Source organism: Homo sapiens, chromosome 9 (assembly GCF_000001405.40).
Source record: "Homo sapiens chromosome 9, GRCh38.p14 Primary Assembly".
Taxonomy (NCBI): Eukaryota; Metazoa; Chordata; class Mammalia; order Primates; family Hominidae; genus Homo; species Homo sapiens.
Genome location: NC_000009.12, coordinates 40,214,202 through 40,240,642, shown reverse-complemented (window position 1 = coordinate 40,240,642; position 26,441 = coordinate 40,214,202). Strand labels below are relative to the sequence as shown.

The following is a 26,441-nucleotide window of genomic DNA, read 5'->3' as shown; positions in this document are numbered from 1 at the left end:
GAAAAGAGCTCAAAAGAGATCAATGTATTACTCTGGCTACTACTCTTTGGGGAAGGTGCTGGGTGGTTTACTTAGTTGTAGCTATTTGCTCTGCCCTACATATAGCAAGGCCCAAATTCACCTGCCATTTTACCTCCCACAGAAAAACCACTGGAAAGATCACTCCTTTAAGAGCTTATACGCTAGGAACCACACCTCACATTCAGAGAGAAGCTGAAGAAACACCAGGGAGGTGTGGCAGGCTGCTGGACAGTACTATATGATGTGAAAAATATATAGAAAGAAAACCATCAATGCCCTTTTACTACCAGAATGTTCCAGTGCTTGCCCTTCTCCCTAGTAGGGGAAAAAAATTCTTTTTCACCTCACAGAAAGCAAAACTCTCTTGCTATCCCTCATGACAGAATCTAGTTGTAGGTGAGTCACATCATCATAATACAGGCTGTTGTCAACCTCATCCCTCAAAGGAAGAGGATCAGTGAGGAACCTATGTACTTACCTATAGCATTCACTGTCTGGTCTTATTTCCAACCGAAGGTAAGTATGAAAGACTTTGTGATTCCAGTTTTATAAAGTACAACCCCTTGCACTTGTCCCCTTCCATTGCTAGAGAATCTATCTGGACCCACCTCACAGAGCAAGATGCTCCAGTTTGTGCTGTGTGGTACAGCATGGTGTCCTTTTCCTCAACCCTTTCTATTATGTGCACATATCTATACAAATCATGTTTTCTAAGTATGTAAAGCATATGTCATCAGAATATATCATTCTTTACAATGATAAAGAAGCAAAAGAAAAACAAAAGGACAAAGAACATCTTAAATGACTACATTCAACTGCCATGGAGCTTTAATTTTTTAACTATTCAAAAAGATATCCACTGTATTATTCCAACTATGTGACTCTTCTGAAAAAAGTAAAACTATGAAGACAGAGTAAACATCAATGGTTGCCACGAGTTACTAGGGAGAAAGGGAAAGATGAACAGGCATAGCACAGAGAATTTTTAGGGCTGTGAAACTGTTCTGTCGATAATATTACAGTAATAGATACATGTCATGTCATTATACACTTGTCCAAATTCACAGAACGTACAGCATCAAGAGTGAAGCCTGATGTAAACTATGAACTTTGAATGATTATAATGTGTCAATGTAAGTTCATCAGTTGTAACAAATGTACCACTCTCTGGTGGAAAATAGTAATAATGGGGGAGGCTATGCATGTGTGGGAGGCATGGGATATATGAGAAATCTCTGTACCTTCCTCTCAATTTTGCTGTGAACCTAAAACTGCTCTAAGAAATAAGGTTATTGATTTAAAAAAAGATATTCAGCTGGGCTCAGTGGCTCATGCCTGTCATCTCAGCACTTTGGGAGGCAAAGATGGGTGGATCACCTGAGGTCAGGAGTTCAAGACCGGCCTGGCCAACATGGCAAAACCTCGTCTCTAATAAAAATACAAAAATTAGCTGGGCATGGTGGCTGGCACCTGTAATTTCAGCTACTCAGGAGGCTGAGGCAGGAGAATCGCTTGAGCCTAGAAGGTGGAGGTTGCAGTTAACTGAGATCGCACCACTGCACTGCAGCCTGGGAGACAGAGTGAGACTCCATCTCAAAAAACAAAAAGATATTCACTGTCTATGCATCCCAGGATCTCCAGAACAATTACAATAAATAAATAAATAAATAAATAAATAAATGGCTGGGGGCAGTGGCTCATGCCTGTAATCCCAGCACTTTGAGAGGCCGAGGTAGGTGGATCACCTGAGGTCAGGAGTTCGAGACCAGCCTGACTAACATGGTGAAACCCCATCTCTACTAAATACAAAAAATTAGCCAGGCATGATTGTGCATGCCTGTAGTTCCAGGTACCTAGGAGGCTGAGGCAGGAGAATCATTTGAAACTGGGAGGTGGAGGTTGCAATGAGCCAAGATTATGTCATTGTACTGCAGCCTGGGCAACAAGAGCAAAACTCCGTCTCAAAAAAATAAGTAAATAAAATAAAAAATAAAGATATTCACTGAACCTGTTACTATGATATATTTAAGCAAGACACGGTGACCCTAAAAATTAGAGATCATTGAAGACCAAAGTAACAACATGTGGTCATTACTTCTCAAATTGAACTATATAAAATATATAAAATAAATAAATTTAATTGCATGCTTAGGTAAGAAAATATTGATAAAAATAATTGAATATTTTATCTTATTTCATAATTCTAAACAGGGATTTAGCACAATATGAAAACTAGACTATTCATGTAATCAAAATAAAAGACAATTTTTATTCTAATGTTAACTCAGAAATTATTTTGCTTATTTAATTTAACAATTTTACTGAAAGGTTAATGAGATAAATAGGACAGATTATAATTACCTAACATTGCTATGGTAACTTATATACAAATAGCTGTTCATCACCAAAAGTCAAAAAAGTAACAAGCACTGCAACTTAAGATGGATCATACAACAGAAATTAGTACCAAGTTACCTTATCTTATAATATTATGTTATTAAAATGAAATTTTAAAACAACACCAAAAATTAAGTTGGGGTTACAAGTGTTGTGCAGAAAAGATTTCATATAGCAGGCAAGAGGCTGCCATCCTTAGAAAGGCCTGCATGCAAGGCTGGCCCTTGGCTGGTGTTTAGGAAATTGGAAATGGGAGGGTTTCCACCATTCCCTGAGAAGAGTGGCTCACTGTGTCTAAAGTGCTTATAGAAACAGTGTATTTACTCTAAACAGCTGCTTTCCTTGTAAGAGTCTGGAATTTGGGTACATGTGAGGGAGAGTAACCTCCATAGAAAAACTTGGGCACTTAGTCTCTAATGAAACTCTGGTACTGGTAGACATCACTGCACATATGTTGTCAAAATGTGAGCCTGGGAGAATTAAGCAGATCCCGGGAACTCCACAGGACAGAACTCCTGGAGGCTTGTGCCTTGTTTCCTCCAGAATTGACCACATGCACCTTTTTCCTCTACTAATTTTGCTTGTCCCCTTCCTTGTTATCAATTAAAGATCTGAGTATGACTATTTGTTGAGTCCTGTGAGTCCTTCTAATGAACCACCAAACCTGGGGTGGTCTTGGGAAACCTTGACACAAATTCATTGTGTAAGATTTGTATTAAGTTGATATGATACGTGTAACTGTAATCAGATGGTTATTTCACAGAATAACTTTACCTAATCTGTTTTTCTTTTCTTTTTTTGCCTTGATATTTGACTTGGAGATTCTCGTATTTCTATATCTATCCAATTGAATAAAGCCATAGAAGGAATAAATGAAAAAATAATGTCAGAAAATAATGTGAAATGAGCAGCAATCCTCTTTTATCTGAATAAAAAATAGAGAATCTGGGTGATTGACAATATGTTCTACAATATGAATGTTTCTAGAAAAAAAATGAAAAAGTGGTCAATTTTCTGCAACTCAACTGGGCTTCATTCCTTTTTATAATAATTTTGAAGGCCAGGTGCAGTGGCTCACACTTGTAAATCCGAGCATTTTGGGAGGTTGAGGCAGGAGGATCACTTGAGCCCGGAAGTTCCAGACCGGCCTCGGCAATATAGTGAGACCTCATCTATTAAACAAACAAACAAACAAAAATCCCTTAAAAAGAAAATTAGCCAAGTGTGGTAGTGCATGCCTGTAGTCCAAGCTACTTGGGAGGCTAAGGTGAAAGGATCATTTAAGGCCAGCAAGCAGAAGTTGCAGTGAGCCAAGATGACACCACTGCACACCAGTACTGACAACAGAGGGAGACCCTGTATTAAAAATAAATAAACAAATAAATAATTGTGTATCAGGCCAGATGTAACCACACAAAACTGTAGTCCCAGCTACTCAGGAGGATGAAGTAGGAGGACTGCTTGAGCCCAGGAGTTCAAGGCTACAGTGAGCTATGATTGCACCAATGAATAGACACTGTATTCTAGCCTAGGCAACATAGAGAGACCCCATCTCCTATGATAATAATAATTGATTAATTGTGCATCATTCAAGTAAATTGTGTAACTGGAGAAAAACATATGACTATTGAATATACTATTATAGTCTACTACTGACCATAGAGTTCCTGTTTACTTGCTTCTAATCTTTTTCTTCATTTCTCATAAAACTGAAAACATGATTTAAACCCATTAAAGGCAGTTCATCACAAAACAAGTCAAAAAGTCAAAAGAATTGCATCCAAACAGTAGGATGCGTTATCCACCGCTCTCTGTGAACAGTTGGATTTGGTCATTAAGAATAAGCAGGACTTTTAACTTTGTGTCTGTGTGCACAGGTGTGTGCACATGTGCACGTGTGTATGTGTATGTATGTAAACTATGACAGATAAAATCATTTTGCTTGTGTACGAATATGTAATATAACTTGTGCTTCTCACAAAGGAATTGCTTTTCCGTCTCCTGTGCTCAGTAGCTGTCTTCAAAAAATAATCTCCTATTTGTATGGGTGCACACTGGTTCAGTTCTACAGTTCTTATTGCCATTTATTTATGGTACCAGAAAGGGATTGCTGAGTTCCTGGTTCTAAAGATAGTTACTTTCTTAGTGACACAAATCAATATGTAATACAGTTCACCCTTGAACAGCAAGGGTTTCAACTGCAGGGATTCACTTATATGCAGATTTTCTTCTGCCTCTGCAACAGAGAGACAGCAAGATCCACCTCTCCTCTTCCTCCTCAGCCTAATCAACCTGAAGATCATGAAGACCTTTGTCAGGACTACTTATGCTTTATGAAAAGTCAATATGTTTCTCCTGATGATTTCCTTTCTAACAGCTTCATTTCTCTAGCTTATTTTATTGTGCGAACACAGTATATAATAATGCAGCAAAAACAAAATAGGTGTTCATCAACTGTTTATGTTATCAGGAAGGCTTCCAGTCAATTGTGGGCTATTAGTAGCTAAGGTGAAGGAATCAAAAGTTATACTCAGATTTTCAACTGCACAGGGATCAGAGTCCCTCACCCCCACATTATTCATGGGTCAACTGTAGTTATTTGTTTACTAAATATAAACAATTTATTATAAAAATGAAATCGAAGATCCATTTGTATAACAAGTCCAATTTGTTATAATGTGACTATAGAGGAAACATACAACATACTAACTTAAAAATCTTTTTTCTTATTTATGCAAAAATATTATATAGGATTTTAGGGATCATAATTAAATAAATGAATGTTTTCAGACAATAATGTTTGAGATTGTAAATTAGCTACAACTACCTTCTTAAATAAATCTGAATTTCAAACTAAAGAAGTTAAATTTTAAAAATTAATTTACATATGTATATACATATATACACATTCAATTTACACATATTTTTAAACTGGTCTTTTTTGACTGAAACTACCTTAATCTTACATCTTACTTTGTATTTTATCAAGAGTAGGACCACCAAGACAAGTAAGAAATTCACAATCAGAAGTCTTACCTGATTTCTCCTTTTTAAGTATCTTCTTTTTATGTTCCAAAATTTGTTGTTGAATTCTATGTATACAAAAGTAATAAATAAAATTGCCATTTTTATAATGAAATAAAAAATATTCACCAAACATATTAAATTCCAAAACACTTTCAAGCAATATCAGACCTAATATCAGAATTTTAATGTCCCATACACTTCAAATTTGTAAACCTTACAAGCTTATTAAGCTTATAATTAAAGAAGAAAAGAAAGTGAAGTACTCATAAATGGAGGAAGCACAGCTCAGTAAATGAACTCTAGTTAGCTGGATATCATGCAAAGTGTCCTGCACTCAGAGTAAGTCCTTGCTCTGTAACCAAAATACCTCGCTCTGTAGGTATTTTGTCTTCAGACAAGTTGCTTCTCTTAGGCTCCATGGTTTCTTCTAAAAAACAAGGATTCTGCTACCTTACTTCACTAGGTTGTTTGGAAGATGTAATGAGATTACATGTTTATATGTTCAGAGAAATAGTAAAGCAATGGAATAATTTATTCTTGAACTTTATTGCTGAAACCATTTTGGAATCCCAAATAATGCTCGGTGTGTGTTTTTCTGTAAGTTCTAATACTCAAATGTTGCAGTTTTCAGAAAATGTTATTAAGTGCTAATTTTGGTTATTACTTGTATTCATTGTGGCTTGTAATTCAGGGCATTTTACCTAATTCATAACTTATTACTAAATTTCTATATATATAAATTTAGTGAGCTCATCACTGAGCTCATCAATCACACCAAGGGCAGAAAACTAATAGGTGTCAAAACCTGGCTTGGACAACTACCACTCCTTCTCTACCTCCTCAAACTCTGAGCCAGCAGATCTGTGCTTGGCTGCTGGATCTCCATGGTCCTCTCCAACTAACAGACAAGACAAAACCCTGCTTTGATTGTTTTTCAGTTCCATGAAGGAAATACAAGTTGACATTTTCTCATTTCCAAGACATGTACTAACAACATGTAACATCCCCTTATTACTCAGCTCTGTTCCCATTTCAGAGATCACCATACATCAATAGTTTCATAGCGATAATCACAATTTCAATATTGCGTGTCACCTGTTTTGGTTTTGCTCACACTGCTTCCTTGGAGCTACTCAACAAATAGTCAAATGGCCTTCCTGGGACTAGGCAAAATATGGAATGTTTTCTGAATTTGTGTGCCATCCCTAGGCAGTAGCCATGCTTATCTGCTCTGTATTGATCCAATTTTAAAATATGTGCTGTTGAAATAAGTACAAAGCCCTGTTTGATACATGGATATTCATGAGTCATGGATGAGGCTTAGCTCTATTAAATCCAACTCACTTACTTCAGATTCAGAGAATTTTATTGAATGGCTTCCTGTGAGGTAGAATTTTAAAATATATTGAAAACTTGAGGAAGAGCTGCAAGTAGCCCAGGAGATTTTCATGATTATAGAGACACATTACTTGAGGGGCCAACTGCAAGCTGGTTCCCACTACTCAGTGGAAAGATAACATGGAACATTCCGCTATCTAACCAAAGCTGCTGCACAGGATATAAAAAAGCCTCAAGGTACAGATCTGATAGCAAAAGAGACAGGGAACTCTGATCTCTTCCTGCAACATTATTTGAACATCCCTGACTATTGAGAACAATCCCAACTAATATTGGTTAAAGGAAAGACAAACATGGCTCTCAAAGGATAACATACCACGAAGGCCTAGGCAAAGTCTAGCTAAGACGTGGGCTCCAAATAAGGTTTTTAGTGTAGGGTGAGCATCAACTTGCTCAATATTTGTGTGGATAAAGCTAGGAGGCCTAGCTGCCAGAGCAGGGTGCTGGGAACAATGACTGAGCACAAGTACATAAACTAATAAACACCGTAGCTTTGACCTCTATATATGAATCACCATGAAAACTGAGGGGTCTGAATCAGTGAAGGCATCCTGGTGGCAAAGGTCAATCATTATCAGATTGCAGGACCGGTTATAATGGCAATAATACAGCAAGTGAGTCCATGGAAACAACAGAATGATTAGAATGGCCTTTTTTCCCCTTCTTCTGACTTGTAAAGAAAGATTGCCTTCCTTGGACTTAGGAAACCCCTTAGCTTCTTGGAAAATTCAAAGAAGGAAGACACAGGAGAGAGCCCCAGGGGACAATACAAGATTTTCTGTTAAACTGGACATTACAAGACTCAATAACTAATTAGAAAAGTCAGGCCAGGCATGGTGGCTAGCACTTTCAGAGGCCGAGGCAGGGGGATTACTTGACCTCAAAAGTTCAAGACCAGCCAGGGCAACAGAGTGAGACCTTGTCTCTACAAAAAAAAAAAAAAAAAAAAAAAAAAGGAAAGGAAAGGAAAAGAAATCAAAGACATGGCTCTTTTTATCCCATGCATGGGGATTATACTTAGAATAAAATGAATAACATTGAGATCCCTAGGGATAAATGTCTCAAAAATCCAGAAAAAATCTCGCACTCTACTTCTAACTAATCTAGACTTCTGCTTGATTTCTGGCTAAAAGGTAGACTAACTCTTCGCTATTTCAAACTATCTGAACCAAACTATGAACTCTCACCTAATGCATAAGATGGAGTAGTTGCAATTATTTTAAACTTCAATTTAGCATTAACTGGCCTTTTAACATAAACACTTACTTTGTCAAATGATGAGAAATAGCATAATCTTCTGCATCTCGTCCACACATGTCTTGAGCGAAGACATCAATATTTTGCTTAAGAAGGATATTGACAATACCTGGTGAGTCATAGTATACAGCAAGCATGAGAGCTGACCTAAAACAACAAAGAAATAACTCCACTCAAGAACTTTAATAAAGACTTTTTTAAAAAGCTAGTTTGATACACTTTACCAGTTTAATATCCGCCTGTCAGTATAGATGTAATAACTATTTGCATGTACTAGCTTGGGTCTATAAGCATCTAGGGTGCTCAAGTGTTCATCTTTGTAAATTGTCACCAAGGCTAAAAGAAAGGGACAACAGGGAAGCCTCTTGTCCCACTGGGGTAAGACATAATACAAGTTGCTAACTTATAGTCCTTTGATGGCCAAGAAACTGTGCTGAGGTCACTTATCTAAAGTAGGCAAAGATTTAGATGAAGATTTCCCCATTGCTTTCCTAGTCAAATCAGCTAGGGGTCAGATAAGAGTTATCTGCAGGCTGAAAACAACAACAACAACAATAATAATAATGACAATGCTAGTAGTCATAAACTAAAAGTCCACACTTTGAAAATGAATAAAACTTGTCAGGTGCAGTGTCTCATGCCTGTAATCCCAGCACTTTGGGAAGCCAAGGAGAGCAGATCACGAGGTCAAGAGATCAAGACCATCCTGGCCAACATGGTGAAATCCCATCTCTACTAAAAATACAAAAATTAGCTGGGCATGGTGGCGTGCACCTGTAGTCCCAGCTACTTGGGAGGCCGAGGCAGGAGAATCGCTTGAACCTGGGAGGTGGAGAATGCAGTGAGCTGAGATCACACCACTGCACTCCAGCCTGGCAACAGAGCAAGACTCCATCTCAAAAAAAAAAAAAATTAATAAAACTAATACAAAACCCTTTAGCTAATAAAAGATTACAGTACGAAAAACATCTGATTATAAATACCAAACTCTGTATATTATAAGAGAAGATGAATCCTACTATATACTATTCTTTATGTTACTCAGTCCAAATATTTGCTTGTCTACCTGATTATTCATGGTGATATTTTTCATTATATGCCAATAATTATGTTAATCTTCTTATTAATATTTCTGACTTGAGTGACCACTCTAGAATACTCAGGTTTTATTTTTAAAAAAAGAACTACTGTACCGTCTCAGCCTATCAACGGCATGTGAACTTGCTTTCCTTTTCAATAAAAATTCCACCATTTTCTCTTTCTTGCAAATTATAGCAAATAAAAGTGGGGTATTATTGTCCTATAAAACAGCAGAAAAAATTAATAATTCACAAAATTACATATTTCTCAACTGAACTGAAAATCTTCTCCAGGATGCTTTGAACTTCAACATACAATATAGAAAGGAAGTAAATGAAAAGCAGTCCCTTCATTCTCACTCCTCTGTGCTTTCTGATGTGCTGTGCTTTGCCTTGCAAACAACCCTCCTCTGTCTCCCTGGATTAACTGTGGTCATTGCCAAAACTCACTTTAAACATTTACTAGTCCCAAGAATCCTTGCTTTGATCACAGCACTTATCATGGTACATTGTAGTCATTTCATTGTTTCCCACTGAAACCAAGAGCTTCTTGAGGCAAGGGCCTAAAACCCTAAGACACAGTAGCAAATATTTTAAGTTTTTTACATTAATTAATGATCTAAATTACTATCTCTAAAGCAGTGTCTCTTAAACTATATTCCAAAGAATATTTGCTTTATCAGAAGTATTATACCGCAAGAGAAAGACTCCATGACCATCTGTATTTGAGAAGTATTACAAAACTGTATTTTATGTCCAATAATCAAGAAATCTCTTTAATTTCACCTAATCCCCTTTCACAATACTATTTGTGGCAAACATTAACATTTGAGGAATTAAGAGTTTCAGAGATACAGTTGCCAGAGCTTCCCAATACAGGTGGCAGTTCCCTCTGGGTGGTACAAACTTGCTTGATTCACTTTTATGAATGGTGTCAGGATCCCAGATGCCAATGTCAGGCACTCCTGCTCCAAATGGGTCACCATGGAAATGAGCTTTGAATTAAGAGAGATTGGCTTCAAATGCATTTATTTTCCTTATTATTAAATAGTCCATGGGTTTTTCCCCTAATACAAGAGAAGAGATTTTTATCTTTACTGTTAGAAAGCTCAGTATATTCTGTGTAAGAGAGATAGGTTTAAAAAACTTAAGAACAAATATTTTAAAAACCAAAACTCAGTAAGAAATACTATTCTCAATTATAATGGTAATCCCGGGACCCTAGTGCAGCTCTACTTTTTAAATCCATTTTTACTGGCTTCCACTTAAATGGCTACTTAAAATTATTTTTTATTTTAGACAAAATATAAATCAGAAATAAAAACATAATGGCTTATCAATAGAAGTTCTCATACTGATCCACATGGATTATTTCTGGCATAATACAAGCCAATAAGTCACTTGCATCCTTAAGGAAGAGCACTGAGGAGAAGGATGTACTGTCTGCAATATTCATAAATTATCCAACTATAACCAGGAATAACCTAAAAAGGCTTCTAGGCATTCTTATGGGCAGAGAATTATTTGTGGTATATATAAAGAAAAGAGTTAAAAACTTCTAAACTCTAAAATTCAACTCCATAACTGAGGGATTTATATACTCTATAGACTATATATTATAAACAAATACATGCTGACTTAAAAACCTTGAAATTTTTATCAAAATATACTATAACATAGGAGTTGTAAACTCAGATACTTACAAGGACAAAGGAAGGTTGCCTGAGTAAGGGAAGTACTAAGGTGGGCACAGTAGCAAACTGGAGAATACCTGCCTTCTATAAAGGGGCAACTTCTGCACAGCAGACCAAAGAATGATAGAAACTCAGGGGACACCAGATTTGATTTTTTAGGATACGCCTGAAGTCCACATTTCTTCACGAGTCTTCTAAATTTTACATGTTGATTCAACTTATAGAGGCAAACAAACAAATCTGTGTACCACATTAGAATATAGCCCTTGTTTTTTTTATATTCGCTATTAATGTGTTACTAAATGGTTGTGTATAATCCAAGTATTTGCATGTAAAATATTTTCTTTCTCTGGTATCATATGTTCTACCAAAAAATCAGGCTCTCATATATAATAAAAATTGCTAAAAAGACTCACAATACCTGCTTCAAGAATTTTTCTAACATGTATTCATTTAAAATATGTTTGTATATAATTTTCCAAGATTGTTAACCAAATAGATAATTGGTTCACAAGACTGCTAAAACTAAATTATTAAAAGAATTCCTATCTATATTCTTATTAACTTCATGGATTTCAGTGTTTAAAACTGACATTTTGGGTATGCTAAAGTTCTATAAACTTAACAAACATACTGAGATAGTTCATAATAAAACTTCAACTAAAAAAAATAGTTTAGGATTTGCTACTATCTTAATTGAGAAAGCCAAACTTGTAATGAACATTTGTTGACACATAATCACCTGCGTGGTGACAAAGGGACATGAAATCATGAAAGGGTCAGCCTCTACCTGTTGAAAGATTACTCATAAGCAAATTTCTGAATACTCTCTGAATGGTAGTGAATGATTCATGGTGGGAAGCAAAACATGTTATTCTGTAAGCTGAGAGATATTGCCAATGATATTTCCTTTCACTTCCCAGTCACAGATGTAGAGAAAGACAGATAAGTCAGGCTAATATAATTGAAAAGGAGAACTTTGAAGGAAGTGGCAACTATCAAATGCCAACTCTTCTAGAGATTTCTTACATTTTTGAGATACAGAAATTTATATATTGCACTTATCTATTCTGGGGTTTTTAATCAAGAGTGTATCCCAACCTTGAAGGTTTTTTGTTTTTTTGTGGTTTTTTTTTTTTGGCTATTATTGTTGTTAGAGACAAGAGTCTCACTATGTTGCTCAAGCTGGATTCAAACTCTTAGGCTCAAGCTGGGACTACAGGAATACACCACTGTGCCCAGCTTCAAGAAAACATTTTTAAACACGTTCAGGCCTTATTAGGTCTATTACATCAAAATCTTCAGGGGAAAGCCTACAATTGTAGATTTTTAACAAAATGTCCTCAGGTCACTGTAATGCACAATTCTGAGAATCAGTGCAGCAGACAATCACTTCAGTCTCACCTCTCACCCACATGGCTAATTCCTTTATCAGTTGGAGATGTGGCCAAAAAGAGAAAAGAGTAAGAGATAGTGTCATTTATTAAAACTCCAGTTAAGTTTCCTGGCTATGGGTAGAACAGGGACAAGTAAACTCAAAATCCCACTTGATTTTGCTATTTACAAGCTCCTTATCTCCCACCTTCCCACTAAGACATTCTAGATTTGAGAGGAGGCTTTAGGTTCTTATCTAAGTGGCTGTTTCTGCCAGGATGAGCAATAAGTCAGTTAATAATTTGTTCCACCTTCTGCTGAAGTGTTTCTCACTTCGTCACCACATATTCACTGCCAATCTGGTTTCCTCAGAGTCCTCCTAAAATTCATCTCTAGGCAAGTTGCAACTCATTCTTTTTCAAACCAAAAATTATTAGACCCAAAGCTAAACAGCACCTTGTCTCAACACATAAAACAAACTTAAAAACAAAAAAAAACCTCTTCCTGGCATTTTCCCTCATTATCTAATATCCAAGTGACCTGCATATTTCTGATCGCTCTCTTTCTCCCCTCCCATTTTTCCCTCTTAAGCCTTGCCACTGAAAGATGATACATCAGTTTTTCAGAAAATTAGCAGCAGCAGCAACATGTCCCTTTATTGTAAGTTGCTTTAGTTTTGTTTGAGTTTTAGGATAAAGCCTATTTCCGGGGAATATTTTCTTTCCTTTGTTGTTTTACACTAATTAAGAAAAAAAAAAAAAAAAAGAATAAGCCTGTGTAGAAAAAAAGTTGAAAAGGTTTTACCTTTAACAAATTCACAAATATTTTCCAAAGTGCATTTTATAAAGCTGTGCCCTTTAATGCTTCTTTAAAAGTATCAATATTTAAAATAAAATCTTAGACAATTAAGTTATTTCAAAATAACTTAATTTGTATTTGCATTCAGGGAATGGTTGAGCTTCCAAATATAAAAAATTGACCCTTACCTATGTCAATGTTAAAACAAATATTTTGGAAAGAAAGTTGATTGACCTATACCTTGTCCAGTGCTTCAATATGTGCACCATGGGAAAGCAGTTTTTCTGCCAGTGAGGTGCTCTCACTATACACGGCATAATGGAGAGCAGTGTTGCCGTAGATATCCTTAAGGTTTGGATTGGCGCCATGTTCCAGCAGAATAACGGCACAAGCCTCTTCCTGGCAATGGACAGCCTGTCCGTGTTAGACCAAGAAACAGATTGTAAATTCCAAGAATTCAAAATACACATTCCACAGGTTTCACCAACTAGTTATATGTAAATGAGATCAATTTATTTTAATTCTATATATGTAAATCAAATCCATGTCATGCTAAAAGAGTTGGCTCTAATATACCTGTATCAAAGGCGTTCTGTTTTCTTTGTCACAGACATCAATCTGGCATTTTCTGTTAACCAGGAGAGTGACCACTTGCACATGGCCACTGGCACAGGCCAAGTGTAGAGCAGTTCTATGAGAGTAAGAGGATTTTTTAAGAAACTGTAGTACAATATCTCAAAACATACAATCATTCATGTAATGTAAAAACTGAATAGCATGTTTTTCCTCTGCCTTCAAAACAAATAAATTTTTTGAAGAAAGTACAATACTTACTCTTATTGCTCACTGCCTTAATGAAAACAGCAGCCTATTTGAGTAGAAAGAGCTCAGTCTTTGGATTCGGTTCAACTAGGGCTTGAGTCCTACTTTAAGCCTTGACACTTACCAACTATTGCTTAGCCTTTCTGTACCTCAACTTCCTCATTAATAAAGATGACAATAGTAGCTATCTCATAGGACACCATCATGATGCTTAAATGAGAAGCTATGTAAAGTATGCAGAACAGTTCCTACGACAACTCAATAATTGTAAGATTTTTGTTTTTTGAGACAAAGTCTCACTCTTTTGCCCAGGCTGGAGTGCAATGGTGTAACTATACCTGGAACTCCTGGGTCAAATGATCTCCATCCCCAGCCTCCTGAGTAGCTGGGACTACAGATGAGCACCAGCATGCCCAGCTATTTATTTAAAAATTTTTGTAGAGTAAGAATCTCACTTTGTTGCCCAGGCTGGTCTCAAACTCCTGGCATCAAGCAATCCTCTCACCTCAGCCTCCCAAAGTTCTGGGATTACAGGTGTGAGCCACTGCACCCAGCCAGATATTATAATTATTACTATTACTACTACTTAACAAAACCATTTTAATTAGGTAGAATGATACAATTACACCTACTTTGCAAGATGACTTAACGAGTAGGTCACATTTTAACACCTCTGACATTGGAATGCCACTTATAATTCATGATTTGTTATAACTATAATTGGTAGCATTTTAAAAATTATCTTATTGATATATAAAATATCGGGGCATCACGCAATCCATGAGACCTTACATTAAGTAGAATATGGTATACTCAGCAGGTCTAGGGCAGTTCTAGGCATGTAACTGAAACTTAAATACATTTTAGTTCTTAAAGGTACTATGGGGAAAGAGCACTGAAATAACAATAATGCATTTTTTAAACAAATTAATTCTTTGATTTTCAAACAACTTGAAGCCAAAGGAAACTCATGATTCAAATGAATACATATGGCTCATTGTATTCAATATTTATACTTAGAAAATATATGCAAATAAGACTTTCCAATGATTAATATTAGTATTTAAGACTGACAAACTTTCGAAAGAGCAGTTAAAGGTTATCTTCTACTATTTTCTAACTTCAGAAATGCTTTTGTTTGAAAGGTGGGAGATAAAGTTTCAAGGAGATTAAGTCCCAATATTCCTATTTTAAATCTCTCAGCTTGTGCAGGCGGGGCAGGTAAACATGAAGTGTTTAAGGATGGACGGGTCCTGAGAGATGACAGAATATGTCTGCTACATAGCAGGTACTCAGGTTATGCTTGATCCATAAATGGAATGAAAGAATGGATAAATACAGTTGGGGAGTTCATTATTTTTAAATAAACTCCTATAAAGCAATATTTTTGCAATAGTAATTATTTATATGTGTTGTTTTATTTTTAAAGAATACAATTAAAATGAAATGATTATGTTTGCATAAATGGAACGAGTATATAAGCAAAACATATGTACATAATAAAATATATAGATAATAAAATCTGGAAACAGATAAAAACATTCCCTTTTTACTTCTGAAGAGGCTAAAAGCTCAAAGAAGATAACAACACACACAATAATGATAAAAAATAGAAAGTGAGAAATTATTTTCATCAGCACAAGATTCATATTCCTCTCTTCCCAAGGATTAGTCCATTAATAATAAACTTTTACTAGAAGTTTTGTACTCACTGCAGCAATCACAGATAAGAAAAAGGAAAAAAACTTTACTTAAAATACAAATGCTCAGAAATTACAAATTTTATATTTTGTACATATTTTTGCTAAAACAAGACCATAGTATGTTTGTGTATGTATAATTTAACTAATTTTTTCTCCTTGCTAGCTATAACAAAATACATCTTTGCACATCAACGTACTTCTGTATCTATTGCCACCTTCAGTGGTCACATATTATTCCATCCTATGGATGCAACTGAAATTTATTTATAGGATCCATTCTATGGGTTCTCTTTAAAATAAGTACTGTGAAAAATAAAGTGCATGTATCTTTATTTCCTAAGGGTATTTTAGTATAATGGAATTGGTGGGTAAAGGGCATACACATTTTTTAAATGTAGTACTTACCATTTTCAAATGAGTACTTTGAAAAGTAATCAGCAACTTTAAGCAGCAGTATAAAACATCCTCACAAATATTGTGGATAGAAAACTGTTTCATTCCTCTTTTAGTTTAAATTCTTATACCAGAAATGCGAAGGATTTTTTCCTATGTATATAAGTAACTTGTAGATCTGGAAAAAGGTACTTTGCCCACTTTTAGAGTGTTTGATAATTTGATTTGAAAGAATTCCCTGTAAAATGAAGAGGTACTTTTCATCTAATGTGTATATATAACTGATATTTATAACATATTATATGTGTTATATATGTATACATATCAGTAATATATATATATATCTTATGATATATAATAAACAACATAGGCCAGGCGCGGTGGCTCACACCTATAATCCCAGCGCTTTGGGAGGCGGAGGCGGGCAGATGACTTGAGGTCAGGAGTTCGAGACCAGCCTGGCCAACGTGGTGAAACTAAATATACAAAAATTAGCCAGGCATGCTGGCACCTGCCTGCAATCCCAGCTACTTGGGAGGCTGAGGTAGGAAAATTGCTTGAACCGGGCAGGCAGAGGTTGCAGTGAGCCAAGATTGTGCCATTGGACACCAGCCTGGGCAAAGAAGCGAGACTCCGACTCAAAAAAAAAAAAAGAATATAATGAATTCCCTATAAAATGAAAACATACTTTTCATCTGAAAAAATATATATATATAATATAGTAAATATTTTTCAAGTAAGCTCTCTTATCTGAGAACTTTTCGCCCACTGAAACAACTCACGGTTATTTTTGATAGGGGAACAAGTACTCTCATTAGGCACCTCCTATAATGTATATAAACCATGTTTTAAACGTGTACGTTAAAAATAACAACGCTGTATATGCTTAACTTTGTGAGTTAAATCACTCAAATTCTCCAACTGCTCCAGCCAGGGAATTATGAGGGATGGAAAACAGCTGAGAGTCCGTTTGGCTCCGCCGCTCCGAGGGTGCCCGGCGCCCTGCACGGCCCCGTCCCAGGGTCTGCGGGGAAGCCGGGCCTGGGGGCCCCCTCCCACCCCGGGCTGAGCCCCCGCTACCTGTGCTGCTTGTCCAGGGCGTCCAGGTCTCCGCTCCTGCGCGCCAAGCAGCGCTCCACCTCCGCGGCGTCGCCTTTGACAGCTGCCCTGTGGATCTTCTGCAGTTCGGAGTCCCGGATTCGGTATCCGGAACCCGTGTAGACGTGGTCTATGGAGCCCTGGGCCGTCTGGCCCCTGCGGCTCCCGAAGCCGAATAACTTCATATTGGTGACTTCTTCTCAGACCCCCAACCACCGGCTCTTGAGCGAGGGCAGCTCCCTGTCACCTTTTCACCAACCCCCTCCCCGACCCCGGCCGACCCAGCCCCAAATCCCCTATCCAACCCCAAAGCCCCGATCCAACCCCAACTCCGCTATTTCAAATCTATAATCTACACAATCCGCGATCCAGCCCGGTCCACCACAGCCTTCAGCAGCGACACTCGCAGCCTCCGACCTCTCAGACCGAGTGAGCCTCGCAAAGCCGTTGGGCGCGCGCCTGCACGGCAGTTGCTGCCGGGCTCCCAGAAGACGCTCCCTGGCGGCGCGCGCCAGCAGGTGGGGCTGCAGCTCTGGGCGTGCGCCGATGGGCTCGCCGGTTCTCCTGGGATCGCCCGGGCAGCCCCAGGATCGCAGGCGCGCAGCCAGCCCGGCCTGAGAAGGAGGGCCTGTCTGGCCTTGCAGCCCGCCCCGCTCCTCCTCAGAAGGGAGATAGGGTGCTGGCAAGGGCACTCCGCGGCCACCTGAGTGGCTTCGCGGATTGGCTGAACGCTGAGGCTCTGACCCTGAAGTCTGTGTGGCTAGTGTCAGGTAGCTGGAGAGGGATGGAGGCAGAGTCAGGGACTGCTCCTTCCCCCACCCGCCCTCACTGCTGCCAGTGCCACACGCGCGGTTTGCAGCTGCAGATCTGGCACTGGCGCAGGATGGCGGAGCTTCCTTTGGATGGCCTCAGGGCCGCAGAGCGCACAGCCCACCTGGCCTCAAGGTCCGCTCCTCTTGGACATCTTTCTGGATCCTGGGCCCTGGCGCTGGGCACTCTGTGTCCACACGGATGAAACAGCGGCTGCTGGCGGGGCCGGTTGCCTGATTTTGCCGCCTGGGGGTCTGGCCTCAGGATCCACGCTACTGCGGGGCGGGCCTGGTCTGGAGTGTCCAGTCACTTGCTGCCGGTGCACCACGTCTAGACTGCAGCTGCGGCTCCGATGCAGGCGTGAGCTGGCGGGCCTGGTACCTGATGTCCTCAGGGTCAAGTGCATCGCCCTCCCACTTGAGAGGTTGCTCTGACTTGGCCTCCTCCAAGAACGCAGGGGCCGCCGGGACTGGCTCTTCGTGGTAACCGGGATGGTACCGAGCAGCAGGTTTTCACCCTGGTGCCACTGCTGTGCGGACTGCCTGACTTGGGCACCCAGGCACCCGCCCCAGGGTCCGCGCGGCAGGTGTGCAGGTAGGGTGAGTGGCGCGGAGGGTCGGGGGTTGCTCCGTCATCTCTGCCCGTGTGCAACTTGCAGTTTTGCAGTTTTCTGCAGCAGCCGAGGCGCTGGCGCGGGAAGGCGGAGCTCCCCTGGATGGCGTCAGGTTTGCAGGCACAGAGCACAGCCCACCAGGCCTGAAGGTCCGCTCAGGGGCCATAGTGGTTGAGTTCTCTGTGGAACTGGGATGGGGTGAACGGCCAGTTCCCGTCCTTTGGCCACCTGGCCAACTGCCAGACTTAACCGCTGCCGCCCAGGAATCTGTCTCTAGCGTAGCCACTACTTGGGTAGAAGTGGGGGTCGGGGTGGGGCGTCACCGGTTGCCAGGCCAGCACTGTCTTTGCAACATATTCAGATGGCGGCGGGCAGCTCAGGCGCCAGCATGGGCTGGCGGGGCTCCCCTGGACGGCCCTCAGGTCGCTCACAGCATTGTCCCAGGACTTCCTCGGCCTGTGCCAGGTGGGCAAGGTACGGGGGTAGCTTCGAAGGCTTCTATCCCAACTCTACCTATTTCTATCTATCTTCTCTTGAGTTATTTTGCCTTTATCTCAGTTTTATTTGCAAAAATAGTATACGCAAAATACATCGAGTGAATGCACATCAGGCATATAGAAGATCTGGCAGAAACATGTTTTCTCCTGCCCATTTCCAGTCAGTATTTGAACACAGAGGCTTCCACGGTTTTGATTCTTTCCACAAAAGGTTAGTTTTGTCTGTTTTCACCATTTATGTAAGTGAAACTATAAATTATATAATTTTTATGTTCACTCACTAAACATGCTTGTGACACATCATTTTGCTCCTATTGATTATTCATTATTTTCTAATATTCAACTTTATGACTATACCACAGGTTTGAGGCCTTTGCTTGTTTTGTTTTTAATCCATTCCACTATTGATAGACACAAAAGCAGTTTCTGATTTGAGGCTATCATGAATAAACCTGCTACGAACAAATCAGATATACATATTTTTTTCTGTAATAATATTTTCACTTTTCTTGAGTTTAAGTACATAAGAGTGGATTTTCTGGGTTATAAAATAAGTATATATTTGGCATTGTATGAAATGGGGAGACATTTTCCTAAGTGGTTATGCCATCTTAAACTACAATGAAAATGAGAGAATCAGTTCCACTTTCTAACCAATACTTGATGCTGTCAGTTGTTTTAGTATTATCCATTCTTATGGGATATAACTGCTGAGTAGCTGTCTGCCTTCTCCCATGACACAGAAAATTGAGGGCCCAGAGGACAGTTTTATTTTCATATTTGACATCTTCTATTATTTTTTATAGAAGGATGATTTCAGTAGTAAAATTTTCTTTCAATTTTCTAGGTTGTCTCTGAATCTTACTGGGGTTCCTTGTCCTAAACCACGTTCAGAAATTTTCACGACCGACTTCTTATCTTTGTCATACCAGGCCAATGAGGGACAGCATTCCTGAGACTTTTTAAGTACTTTGTGTGTGTGTGATGGTCTAATAATCATAGCCTTAAAACTTTCTGGCTGGGCATGGTGGCTCACACCTGTAATCCCAGCACTTCAAGAGGCCGAGGCGGGTGGATCACCTGAGGTCGGGAGTTCGAGACCAGCCTGACCAACGTGGAGAAACCCCAACTCTACTAAAAATAAAAAATTAGCTGAGCATGGTGGCACATGCCTGTAATCCCAGCTACTTGGGAGGCAGGAGCTACTTGGGCTGATGCAGGAGAATTGCTTGAACCCATGAAGTGGAGGTTGCAGTTAGCCAAGATCACACCATTGCACTCCAGCCTGGGCAACAAGAGTGAAATTCTGTCTCAAAAAAAAAAAAAAAAAAAAAAGAATCTCACACTTCTGGGAGACACTGAATTTGTGAATGTGTACAGCATATCACAATAACTTTTCTTTGAGACCAAGTCTCACTCTGCTGCCCAAGCTGGAGTGCAGTGGCCCATCTCAGCTCACTGCAACCTCTGCCTCCCGGATTCAAGCAATTCTCCTGTCTTGGCCTCCCGAGTAGCTGGGATTACAGGTGCTGCAACCATGCCTGGCTAATTTTTGTATTTTTAGTAGAGACAGGGTTTCACATATTGGCCAGGCTGGTCTCGAACTCCTCACCTCAGATGATCTACCCGCCTCGGCCTCTTGAAGTGCTGGAATTACAGGTGTGAGCCACCATGCCCAGCCAGAAAGTTTTAAGGCTATGATTATTAGACCATCACACAAAGTACTTAAAAAGTCTCAGGAATGCTGTCCCTCATTGGGACCACAACACCCAGATGATTTTTTTTTTTTTTGTAGAAAGAGGAGCCTTGCTATGTTGCCCAAGCTGGCCTCAAACTCCCACCCTCGAGATCTGCCCATCTCGACAACCAGAGTAACTGGTTCTACAGGAAAATACCACTATCCCATGATAATTATATTTTATTAATTTTTATTTGCATAGACAGGAGGTCTTGCTATGTTGCCCAGGGTGGTCTCAGACTCCTGGACTCAAACAATTCTCCCATCTGTGCCATCTGTGCCTCCCAAAGTGCTCCCAAAGTGCTGACGCCACAGGCGTAAGCCACTGCACCTGGCCCGACTTAAGATGTCTTTAATCTAGCATCCCATACTTCATATAATCAGGAAAAGCAGTAGTGTTTTTTTTTTTTAATTACTTAGTATCTCAACAAGAATCAACCATCTCTCACCATTGCCAGGACCCTGGTCAGAACCACTATCATCTCCTACCTGGATGTTGCCACAGCTTGGCCTCCGTGCTTCTACCCAAATCTTCCCACAATCTTTCTCAACTCAGCCACCATGGGATGCTTTTAAATCAATAGACAGTTCGTGTCACCTCTCTGCTCAGAACCCTTCCGCATCTCCCATCTCAGACAGCATAAAAGCCAAAGCCCCAGCAATAGCCTCCCAGGGCTTGCACAATCTGTACTGATCTGAGTCCCACAACTCCCTGGCCTCCTCCCCTACCTTCTCTCCCCCTCTCTGCTCGACAATCCTCTTTCCTGAGCTTCAGACACACCACGGAGTTCCCTCTTAGCATCTTTATTCTGTTGTTTCTGCCTATAATGCTCTTCCCTCAGTACCTTGGCCAGCTCCTTCCCCTCCTTCAAGTCTTTGCTCAATTTTCACTTAGGAGGCCAACCCTGACCACTCTATTTAATATTGCTATGTGTCCCCATTCCTGCCATGCTCACTCATTTCTTTTTACTTTTTTTTTAAGATATAATCTCGCTGTGTCACTCAGGCTGGGGCACCATGGCACGATCACAACACACTGAGACCTGGAACTCCTAGGTCAAGAAATCGTCCTGCCTCAGCGCCTCTAGTAGCTAAGACTACAAGTGCATGCCACTACACCCGCTAATTTTTTTTTCCCATGTAGACAGGGTATCACTTTGTTGCCCAGGCTTATCTTGAACTCCTGGGCCAGAGCAACCATCCTGCCTCAGCCTCCTAAATAGCTGGAATTATAGGTGTGGGCCACTACCCCTGGCTTCATGTTCATTTCTTCTTGCTGCTGTTACAAACTACCCTACGTTGAGTGGCTTAATACACCACAAATCTACTACCTAACAGGTCTGGGGGCCAGAAGTCCAAAATAGGTCTATTAAGGCTAAAGTCAAGGTGTCAGCAGGACTGCATCCCTTCTGGAGGTTCCAGAGAGAAGGTGTTCCCTTGCCTTTCCCAGTTCCAAAAGCCACCCCTATTCTTTGCCTCATGGCCCCTAAATGCATCTTCAAAGCCAGAAGCAAAGCATATTCAAATCTCCCTCTGTGACCTGTGCTTCCACCATCAAATCTCCTTCAATTCTGACTCTCTTACCTCCCTCTTTCACTTATAAAGACCTCTTGTGATTGCTGGACACAGAGGCCGGGGCTCACAACCATAATCCCAACAGTTTAGGAGGTCAAAGCAGGAGAAATGCTTGAGGCCAGAAGTTCGGGACCAGCCTGGGAAACACAGTGAGACCCCCCCCCCCTCAATTAAACAACAAAAAGAAATAAGAGAAAATTAGCTGGGCATGGTGGTATGCATCTGTAGTTTCAGCTACTTGAGAGGCTGTGGTGAAAGGATTGCTTTAGCCCCAGAGTTCAAGACCAGCCTCGGCAATATAACAAGATCCCATCTCTACAAAAAAATACAAAAATCAGCTGGGCATGGATGGTGTGCACCTGTAGTCCCAGATGCTTGGAAGGCTGAGGTGGGAGAATTGCTTGAGCCCAGGTGGTTGAGGCTGCAGTTAGCTACGACTGCATCATTGCACTCCAGATTGGGTGAAACAGAGACTCTGTGTTCAAAAGAAAAAGAAAAAAAATACACATTTGGTTTCTGCCCCTCGTCCTGGCACAGAGCTTCTCAAGTTCTTATAAAGGCCTTGGTGATAAAGGTGATAGGACCCCATCTTTTGTTTGAATATTTGGTCTTAGTCCCAGGTTTCTAACACAAGAGCCTCTAAGACCTTTGGGATCACCACAGTAAGAATGCATTTGGTGATGTTACTGAGATGACTGGGTGACTGAAAGCTCCTAGACCGCTTAAGAAAAAGGGCTGGTTGCCAGAAGAACAAACCATGTGATTAGAGGCTTGGAACTGTCAGCCTCACCCACTGGGCTCCAGGAAGAAATAGTGGCCGAAGACTGACTTAATCACCAATAGTCAATGATTTCATCTATCATGCCTGCTTAAAGAAGCCTTCATAAATGACCTCAACAACCAGATTTGGAGAATGCCGGGGTTGCTGAACACAAGGGAGATAGCAGGAAGGTAACACGCGCAATAGAGAGCATGGAAGTTCTGCACCCCTCCCGACCTCCCGACACACCTTGCCCTGTGGTTTTTTTTTTTTTTTTTTTGAAACAGGGTCTGGCTCTGTCCCCCAGCCTAGAGTGCCGTGGCACAATCGTGGCTCACTGCGACCTATGCCTCCCTAGCTCAAGCCCCATCTCTCATCCTCTCACCTCAGCCTCCTGAGTAACTAGAATTATAGGCACTGAGTAGCCAGAACTATAGATCACTGCACCTGGCTAATTTTTAGAAAAACCTTTTTGTAGAGATGCGTTTTCACCGTGTTACCCAGGCTGGTCTTAATCTCCTGAGCACTTAAGCGATGCTCCCGCCTCAGTCTCCCAAAGAGCTGAAATTACAGGCATGAGCCACTGTGCCCAGCATGTACATCTCTTTCACCGGCTGTTTCTGAGATATAGCCTTTAAAATGAACCAGTAAAAGAAAGTAAATTGGTGAGATGCAGTGGCTCACACCCATAATCCCAGCATTTTGTGAAGTTGAGGTGGGAGGATCATGTGAGCCCAGAAATTTGAGACCAGCCTGGGCAACATAACAAGACCCCTTCTCTACAAAAAATAAAAAAACTTAGCCAGATATGCTGGTGCGGGCCTGTAGTCTCAGCTATTTGGGAGGCTGAGGTGGGAGGATCACTTGAGCCCAGGAGTCCCATGCTACAGTGAGCTTTGATCACACCACTGCATTCCAGTCTGGCAATAGACTGAGACCCTGTATCTCAGAAAAAAAAAAAAACAACCTGTTTTTCTGAGTTCTGCAAGCTGTCCGAGCAAATGATTCCACCCAGCAATGGGGTCATGAAACCCTGTTTTCTAACTGGTCGGTCAAAACTACATGTAACAACCCAAGACTTGCAATTGGCATGTGGAGTGAGGGTAGACTCCTGGGACTGAGACCCCATCCTGCGGGGTCTGCACTAACTCCAGGGAGTGTCAGGATGGAATTGTGGGATACCCAGTTGGGATCCAGATTGTCTGAAAATCAGTGTAGAAACTCCACATGCACATTTGGTTAGAGGTGTTTAACCATAACTACTATTCACGAAAAAGGTCTACTCATTACAACTGAAAATCATAAAATTGTAAGTTCTACAAAAATAAATCAACCTTATCTACTGCCCAGTCCTACCAAACTACAGAATGTGAGAACAGAAGGTCTGACCGTGGACTCGAGAGCTGACATTAGGAATGTCACCACCATCCTGCTCTCCAAGGACTCCTCATCTTCAACAAACTCCTCATCTTCAATGGGCAGGGTGGAAACTGCAACTTGTGCCATGATCCTTGCACAAGAAAAGTAGTAAGAAAGTGAGTGGTAGAAATCCAGTGTCCTAAACTCACATCCAGAGCTGTGAGAGTTTTTCACCGGCTGGATAATTCACAGTTTTCTTGAATCAGGGGAAAAATAAGACTCAGAAACTAGGAATTCGTTTTGCCCAAAACTCTCATCAGATAGAGAATCCATCCACTAACTTTCTATCTAGTATTATTTCCATAAGTTAGATCAGTATCACTCCCAAATGCACATGGCACCCAGAATCTGCGCATTTCTCCCAAGTAAAAGAGGAGGTGGATGGGCGCAGTGTCTCATGCCTGTAACCCCAGCACTTTCGGAGGCCAAGGTGGGTGGATCACTTGAGGTCAGGAGTTCAACACCAGCCTGGCCAACATGGTGATACCGTCTCTACTAAAAATAAAAAAAATTAGCCAGGTGTGGTGGCACGTGCCTATAGTCCCAGCTTCTTGGGAGGCTGAGGCAGGAGAATCGCTTGAACCCAGGAGGCTGAGGTTGCAGTGAGCAGAGATCTCAGCACTGCACCTGAGCCTGGGTGACAGAGTGAGACTCTGTCTCAAAAAAAAAGGGGGGGGGGGAGGAGGCAATGCACTTTACAACCCAGTGATGGGCTACCACAACTCAACACAGCAAAGAGGTGCCAAGCTCCCTTTCTCCCCTGCACAACCCGACACAGAAGAGTTGGTGCAGTGGAATGAGGTTGAATGGAGAGAAGTTCCTCTTCTTTCCTTTTTTTTTTTTTTTTTTTTGAGATGGAATCTCACTCTATCACACAGGCTGGGTGCAGTGGCACAATCTCGGTCACTGCAACCTCCGCCTCCCAGGTTCAACCAATTCCCTGCCTCAGCCTTCCGAGTAGCTGGGATTAGAGGTGCCCGCCACCACACCCAGCTAATTTTTGTTTGTTTAGTAGAGACTGGGTTTCACTATGTTGGCCAGGCTGGTCTTGAACTCCTGACCTTGTGATCCACCTGCCTCGGCCTCCCAAAGTGCTGGGATTATAGGCATGAGCTGCTGCGCCCAGCCGAGAAGTTCCTCTTCTTACTGAGAAAATGGATCACAGGGCATCAAGTAACACATAAAATTCTTTATAATAAGCAGTATTATTTTTGGAAAACCTTTCCTAATATTTTGGTATCAGCAAAAACCCTCAGATTAATTTCAAACACTATAAAAATACAGTACATAAACAGAAAATATTAACTGTCAGCAATGCTATAGAGAAATTGGAAGCTGTATGCATTGCCTTTTGGAATGTAAAATGGTACAGCCCACTGTGGAAAATGGTTTAGCAGCTCCTTAAAAATATTAAGCACAGAATTATATGATCCACCAACACCCTTTAAGTGTATATACCCAAAATAACTGAGAGCAGGGACTCAGACAGGTATTTGTACACCCGTTTAACAGCAGCATTATTCACAGTGGCCAAAAGGTAGAACCAACCCTAATGCCCATCAGTAGGTGAATGGATAAAGAAAATGTAATATATACATACACAGAGTATTATTCAGCCATAAAAAGAAAAATATCTGGCCAGATTCAGGGGCTTACACCTGTAATCCCAGTATTTTGGGAGGCCAAGGTGGGCAGGTCTCTTGAGCCCCAAATTTTGAGACCAGGCTGGACAACATGGCACATTTGGTCAGAAGTGTTTGACCATAACTACTATTCAAGAAAAAGATCTACTCATTAGAACTATAAATCATAAAATTATAAATTCTACAAAAACAAATCAACCTTATCTACCACCCAGTACTACCCAATTACAGAATGTTAGAACGGAAGGTCTCACCATGGACTCAAGAGCTGATATGAGCAATGTCACCACCATCCTGTTCTCTGCGGACTCATCTTCAACGGACT

At 40.6% G+C, this 26,441-nt stretch overlaps 1 long non-coding RNA gene and 2 pseudogenes across 7 annotated transcripts in view; all 3 read right to left on the bottom strand.

The window, feature by feature from the left end:
- The window catches only part of ANKRD20A2P (ankyrin repeat domain 20 family member A2, pseudogene), a 60,257-nt pseudogene extending 41,716 nt beyond the window's left edge, over positions 1–18,541 (bottom strand). For 5 of the 6 annotated variants that reach the window (XR_007061496.1, XR_004837499.2, XR_004837500.2 and 2 more), the window contains exons 1-6: positions 17,044–17,308; positions 13,622–13,736; positions 13,286–13,459; positions 9,294–9,400; positions 8,110–8,247; positions 5,455–5,510 (exon numbers count right to left, since the gene is read on the bottom strand). The product of XR_007061496.1 is annotated as an ankyrin repeat domain 20 family member A2, pseudogene, transcript variant X1 (transcript). Of the gene's footprint in view, positions 1–5,454; positions 5,511–8,109; positions 8,248–9,293; positions 9,401–13,285; positions 13,460–13,621; positions 13,737–17,043 lie in introns of all 6 variants that reach the window. The other variant, XR_004837502.2, reaches the window with a different exon arrangement.
- RNU6-1269P (RNA, U6 small nuclear 1269, pseudogene) lies at positions 6,614–6,720 on the bottom strand (annotated as a pseudogene).
- Positions 18,542–22,726: 4,185 nt separating the features above from the next.
- LOC105369249 (uncharacterized) lies at positions 22,727–26,430 on the bottom strand. The gene is made up of 3 exons (XR_929633.1): positions 26,371–26,430; positions 24,444–24,564; positions 22,727–22,769 (listed from the first exon to the last, which is right to left on the bottom strand). It is a non-coding gene; the product is annotated as an uncharacterized LOC105369249 (long non-coding RNA).
- Between the last annotated feature and the right edge of the window lie 11 nt (positions 26,431–26,441).